This window comes from Homo sapiens, chromosome 2 (genome assembly GCF_000001405.40).
Source record: "Homo sapiens chromosome 2, GRCh38.p14 Primary Assembly".
Lineage (NCBI taxonomy): Eukaryota > Metazoa > Chordata > Mammalia > Primates > Hominidae > Homo > Homo sapiens.
Genome location: NC_000002.12, coordinates 203,659,143 through 203,666,403, shown reverse-complemented (window position 1 = coordinate 203,666,403; position 7,261 = coordinate 203,659,143). Strand labels below are relative to the sequence as shown.

The window sequence follows — 7,261 nt, the reverse complement described above, 5'->3', positions numbered from 1 at the left end:
CAGGCTGACATAGAAGAACAACTGATCTTCCAGAAAGTGCTGCCAACATCTCTCCACTCCAAAGAGCTAGAATACCAATAAACCTAGGAAGATCCAGTTCTAAATATATATATATATATATATATATATTTTTTTTTTTTAGATGGAGTCTCGCTCTGTTGTCCAGGCTGGAGTGCAGTGCCATGATCTCACCTCACTGCAACCTCTGCCTCCTGGGTTCAAGCAATTCTCCTGCCTCAGCCTCCTGAGTAGCTGGGATTATAGGCGCCCAACACCATGCCCGGCTGATTTTTTTGTATTGTTATTAGAGACAGGGTTTCACTATGTTGGCCAGGCTGGTCTTGAACTCCTGACCTCATGATCTGCCTGCCTCAGTCCCCCACAGTGCTGGGATTACAGGCGTAAGCCACCGTTCCTGGCCCAGTTCAGTATATTTTGATATTGCATCTTCCTAATGTTTGTTTCAATTAGGGACAACTTTGAACCACACACACACTTTTTTTTAATGATTTTCTGTGAGTAAACCCTTGAGGAGTCATATAACCCATGCCTTTCAAGTGTGTCTGTACCAACCTTCCCGTTAAGTCTGTGAAGAGAATCCACTATGTTAGTATATCATTTCTTATGGCAAAGGCTATCAATACATGAGCCGCTGTTCACTATGCCTGATGAGAACCTTACTAAAATATTTTCCTCTCTTTTCTACCTTCATCTTAAGGGAGAAGGGAGATGTCTAGTCAAGAAATAAAATCTCATTGGCTCAGCCTGGTGCGGTGGCTCACGTCTGTAATCCCAGCACTTTGGGAGGCCGAGGCGGGTGGATTACCTGAGGTCAGGAGTTCAAGACCAGCCTGGCCAATATGGTGAAACCTCATCTCTACTAAAAATACAAAAATTAGCCAGGCATGGTGGCACATGCCTGTAATCCCAGCTACTAGGGAGGATGAGGCAGGAGAACTGCTTAAACGCGGGAAATGGAGGTTGCAGTGAGCCAAGATTGTGCCACTGCACTCCAGCCTGGCCGACGGAGCAAGACTCTGTCTCAAAAATAAATAAATAATAAATAAATAAAATCTCATTAGTTCTCAGGGTAATCTTTATAGGGGTCTGAGGATAGGGTTAAATTGTTACTACAGTTGTGGCAGACCTCGACAATGCAAAGCCCATAGAAACACATCAGTGCCCATCATTGTTAAAAAATAGTATTAAATGTGCTTAGGCACCAGAACTATAATCTAAGAGGCAGAATCCAAGTCTTAAGTCCCAATTCCTGTTTTCTGAAGCATAGCAAAGTAATTTACTCTCCGAGTAAAACAATCTTTCTAGATCAGTGGTTCTCAAAGGATGAGGTTTCTAGATCAGCAGCATTAGCATCACATAAGAGCTTGTTAGAAATGCAAATTCTCAGCTGTGCGGCCATAAAAAGGAAGGAGATCATGTCCTTTGCAGGGACATGGATGAAGCTGGAAGCCATCATCCTTGGCAAACTAACACAGGAACAGAAAACCATGAGGCTGGGTTGGTGGCTCATGCCTGTAATCCCAGCACTTTGGGAGGCAGAGGCAGGCAGATCACTTGAGGTCAGGAGTCCGAGACCAGCCTGGCCAACATGGCGAAACCCCATCTCTACTAAAAATGCAAAAATTAGCTGGGTGTAGTGGCAGGCGTCTGTAGTCCCAGCTACTTGGGAGGCTGAGACAGAAGCATCACTTGAACCTGGGAGGCAGAGATTGCAGTGAGCTGAGATCATACCACTGCACTCCAGCCTGGGTGACAGACCGAGACTCTGTCTAAAAAAAACAAAACAAAACCAACACTGCATGTTCTCACTCATAAGTGGGAGCTGAACATTGAGAACACATGGACACAGAGAGGGAAACAACACACACCAGGGCCTGCTGGGGGATGGGGGATGAGGGGAGGGAACTTCGAGGACAGGTCAACAGGTGCAGCAAACCACCATGGCACAGTATACCTTTGTAACAAACCTGCACGTTCTGCACATGTATTACGGTTTTTTTTTTTGGAAGAATTAAAGAAGAAAAGGAAAAAGAAAAAAATGCAAATTCTCAGCCTCATCCTCCACCTGCTGAAGCAGAAACTTCAGGTGAGAGGCCCAGCAATCATGTTTAAACAAGCCCTCCAGGAAAAGCTGATGCACAGTACGATTTGAAAACTATGACTCTAGGCCAGACCAAATAGTGGCCTGTGGAGCACAGCATTAGCATTTCCTGGGAGCTCATTAGAAATGCAGAATCTCAGGCCCCACCTCAGACCTACTAAATCAAAAACTGCAGCCGAACCAGATCCTCAGGTGATTTGTATATACATTAAAGTTTGAGGAGCAGGATCAAGGATCAAACTGAGAAACTTAAAAACCTAAACAAATAGGCAGAGCACAGTGGCTCACGCTGTAATCCCAGCACTTGGGGAGGCTGAAGGGGGCAGGTGACCTGAGGTCAGGAGCTCAAGACCAGCCTGGTCAACATGGTGAAACCCCGTCTCTACTAAAAATATGAAAATTAGCTGAGTGTGGTGGCACACGCCTGTAGTCCCAGCTACTCGGGAGGCTGAGGCAGGAGAATCGCTTGAACCCAGGAGGTAGAGGTTGCAATGAGCAGAGATCACGCCACTGCATTCCAGCCTGGGCAATAGAGCGAGACTCCGTCTCAAAGAAAAAAAAAACCTGATTTTATAAATATGTCACTGCAAAATTTACAACACACTCTCTTCCTCATATAACTCTCTCAATAACCTTGTAGATTAGGTATTGTCATGACCTCCATCTTACGTATGAGACACAAGGAGAGTGGATAATTTGCTGGATGCCACAAAGCCAGCAAACAAAAGAGCCAGGATTTCAATCTAGGTATTTTGACTGTGAAAGGTAGGCTCTTAGCCAGCACCTATAACAAGTTATTCTGATTGTAACTCCAGTAAGGTCTTTTTTTCTCTCTCTTTCACATCACACTGCTTCTCTAACAGCAATTACATTCATCGCAACCAATTAAGCCTTTCCCCTAAAACTAAAAATAATATATATCTATTTTAGTTGAACAAATATTTATGGAGGTCTATTTTTTAGCAGAGAAGCCTGACCTGTTGGAGCTTATAGTGCTAGGTTAATAAGTGTAGGTGCTCAATAAATATTTGCTGAACCAATGAATCAGTGAATAATTTTATTATAATATGCTAAGTGATTCAGGAGGAGAGATGAGAGCCCTGTATACATTCTGGGGCCTCAGACATTTGCTGTAAATGATTAATGCTGAGCTGAACCCATAAAGAGAGGAAGTGTCAACCAGACAAAGAATAAGGGAAAGAGGATTCCAGGCATGTTAAAGTGCTGGGGCTTTATCTGAAGATGACAATCACTAAGTACTTAAGGAACCATATGGTCACTCAAATAGATATGTGTGAACACATATACATAAACAGTTATACCAAAAAAAAATCAAAATACCAAGAATCCACTCCCCAAAGCCATTAGAACTTCCAGGGTGAAATAAACCACTAGGATTTAGATTATTAGCAACCATACTCTATGAGAATATATGAATGTGTGGTTTGTAATTAAGGTCTTGCCCCCCTGTACACAGGAATGGAGAGAAAGGGCTTAGTGGTCTGAGTTGCCTGCAGGATTCAGAGGGCCAAAAAGAGATAGAGGAAACAGAGCCCAGGCCTTGGAACCTTCAGAAAATAATGGGAAGCCCCCTGCTCCTGACTTAGTTTCAGTATCAACTCTTATAGAAAATAGGAATAAGAGGGACAAATTTGAGTGACACCATTTTTCTTTTTGACACATAAATGACACACCATTAAGATGCCTGCTCTTGAGAATTCCTCAGAAAGTGAAATTATCCTCCTCCTTAGCTTCATGGTTTGGTTCGTTTTGTTGGTTTTTTGTTTGTTTGTTTGTTTGTTTTGAGACGAGTCTCACTCCATCACCCAGGCTGGAGTGTAGTGCCGCAATCTCAGTTCACTGCAACCTCTGCCTCCTGGATTCAAGCGATTTTCCTGCCTCAGCCTCCCCAGTAGCTGGTATTACAGGCATGCACCACCACGCCGGGGTAATTTTTTTGTATTTTTAATACAGACGAAGTTTCACAATGTTGGCCAGGCTGGTCTCGAACTCCTGACCTCAGGCGATCCACCCACCTTGGCCTCCCAAAGTGCTGGGATTACAGGCATGAGCCACCACACGCAGTCATGTATGCTATTTTTTTTACATAGATTTCCTGGAATTTTTATTAATAATTATAGATACCCAAGCAATAATTTCCATATCTTACTGTCTGTAAACCATAAAGCAAATATATGTATTTTTTTCTTTCTCTCCTACTTTTGCTTACATTTTGCTTATCTCCAGATAATTCAAAATTATTAAATAGATTAAATAACAATATTTAGGGAGGGAGGGTTACTTGTATCCTCTGTTTTAGGTATCAAGGTATTTCCTCATCAAAAAAATCAAATTTTCTTAAGTTTATAGGGCTCCAGTATTAAAAGTATTTTTCTTGAGGCGTTTTGTAAAAAGGGCAAGTGTTTCACAAAAAAAAAAAAAAAAAAAAAAAAAAATCTTTGATTCCTAGTTGCCTAAACCAAAGTTCAGATTTGTAAGGCTTCCTCTTCAGTAGGGTGTGTTGGAATCTTGATGGATTGGGCCATGCAGCCAAGGCCCCCACAGTTGGGAGTGCAGGGACAGTGTTTTTTCCTTGTCCAAACACCAATATGAACTGGGGATCCTCAAAGAGAGACATGACCCAAGAGATCAGGGTCACTTGTCCGTCCAGCAGAGATCAAAGCAGGCTTCCTTCTGAGAAGCACCCTCAACATCCCAGCCTCTCCTTAGAGAACATCATCAACAGTCTGCACAGGGGCAGAAGGAAAACAGGCAAAGAATGTGTGCGGAATGGTGGTTCACTTCCTGCCAAGACATGAAAGCAACTCAAGAATATGCAACCACCTGCCACAGCCTTGTTTGTCCTTAGACTTTTTTCATCCACATCTTGGCATCCTCAGTCAAAAATATAATAGGCCACCCAAATATTTTAATAAAACATTTTCTAGGGCAGACTCAAGAGTATTAAAATTACCTTAAACCAAGCAAGCATAGCAATGAGAAACCTCATTTCAACTGCTCCTTATATAAAGACTTGGTTCAAAGATCAATTCTTGAGATTCTTTTTTTGTCATAAAAGCATGAACTGCATTTAGCAGAATTTTATGAACAATTTTTTTAATTATTTATAAATTTCTACCAATTTAATACAAATATTTTCATGGGCATGTATTTGCTGCAGCCTTAATTATATGAGCAAGTAGATATTTATATACACAGTTATGGGTCTATTTTTGAAACTGCTTGTGAAACGTTCTTCTATTTTACAAAGTCCTTATTCCAAATAAAAAGGATATAGAGAAGCCAAGCATGGTGGCTCACACCTGTGATCCCAGCACTTTGGGAAGCCAAGGTGGGAGAATCACAGGAAGACAGGAGTTCAAGACCAGCCTGAGCAACATAGCAAGACCCCATCTCTACAAAAAATTTAAAAATTAACTGGGCATAATGGCACGCACCTATAGTCCCAGTTACTCTGGAGGCTGAGGCAGGAGGATTGCTGGAGCCCAGGAGGTAAAGACTGTAGTGAGCCATGATTACACCACTGCACTCCAGCCTGGGTGACAGAGTGAAACCACCATCTAAAATAAAATAAAGGGCATATACAGGTTGTGCCTACATTGCACTGAAATTACTATTCATTTCCATTACCCTCAATGTTTGCAGACATTAAAAAACTGGTTGTTGATAGATAAGCAAGCATTCGATAAATATCATCTGCTTGATTTCCCACTCTTTAGAAAACCATGAACAAACATTTGATTTTTACCACTTGGCAGTTTAACATTTCTTGGTCATATAGACAAGTAGGTTATTGAAGAGACTAATATACTTGCATTTCCTCTTTTAAATATGACCTCTAAAATAGGCAGTTTGAAAATTATAATTGCCATACCATGTCAAGTGGCTGATCATCTAGTGTGATATTTTGTCTCTAAGTACAGCCCAAACATAGCCTGTGTGAAGCTATCGTTGTTCCCCATAATGGCAAAAAATAAATATCCCTCCTCTATTTCCCATCTCAGAAAAAAGAAGTGCAGTTCCCCCTACTAAAGGCAAACCCCTCCTTATATGCTCTCAACGCTACCTTCTCCCGTCTCCTCTGAGAGCTTTTGAGTCTTCCCTTATCTCAACCCCATTCCCACCCCACCCCCACCCATTTATGTACACAAATCCCAAATCATATAAATGTCTTATCTCAACTCTCGGCTACTATTTCATCTCTCTTCTCTTTATGAAATCCGTTGGACTCTACACTCTCTGCCTCTACTTCTTCTTTATCCCAGCTCAATCCTTGAAAGTTGGCTTCAAAACCCATAACTATAGACCAAAACATTCTTTTCTCAATGGCCTCTCAATGATCAAATCCACTGGCCCCTCCCCCACTCCTCATTCTCATCAGCTTCTCTTCCTGTCTGAAACTGATTCCTCATCCCATTCTTAGGACCTTCTTTGCACTGTCTGTCACTTCCCCTTTTCTAACTCTCGTTTCTTCATCTATCTCTGTCTCCCTTGCAGACCCTACTTTCTCTTCTTGTCCTGGGTATAAAGCATAATATATGGATCTACTCTCAGGCTTCTTATCTCTCTGGGCCTCATTTTTGAAGATCCTTTATAGGTAAAAGATCCCCAAGTGTGCCAGTTCTGATTTGAACTCCAGGTTCATATTGTTCACTGCCTGCTAGAGATCTCCGCTGACATACATCTCAAACTCAGTATGTCCAAACTCCACTTAACCTTCCTTTCAAGCCTGTTCCTCTTTTCCAGACACTAGGAAAAAAAATCTAGGAGTCATCTTCAATTATCTTCTCTTTCTCATTTCCCACATTTAGTTACAATGTCCTATATGTTCTTTTTTTTTTTTTTTTTTTTAGACAGAGTTTCGTCCATCACCCAGGCTGGAGTGCAATGGTGCAATATTGGCTCACTGCAACCTCCACCTTCTGGGTTCAGGTGATTCTCCTGCATCAGCCTCCCAAGTAGTTGGGATTACAGGCACTCACCACCACACCTGGCTAATTTTGTATTTTTTTTTAGTAGAGATGGTGTTTCACCATGTTGGCCAGACTGGTCTCAAACTCCTGACCTCAGGTAATCTGCCCGCTTCAGCCTCCCAAAGTTTTTTTTTTTTTTTTTTTT

At 41.8% G+C, this 7,261-nt stretch overlaps 1 annotated feature.

Moving 5' to 3' along the window:
* Positions 400-1,042: an enhancer, noted in NCBI's record as "H3K4me1 hESC enhancer chr2:204530085-204530727 (GRCh37/hg19 assembly coordinates)". NCBI's record gives its function as "activates a minimal SCP1, AML or CMV promoter by ChIP-STARR-seq in primed H9 embryonic stem cells {active_cell/tissue: H9 hESC(primed)}" and the evidence as "EXISTENCE:reporter gene assay evidence [ECO:0000049][PMID:30033119]".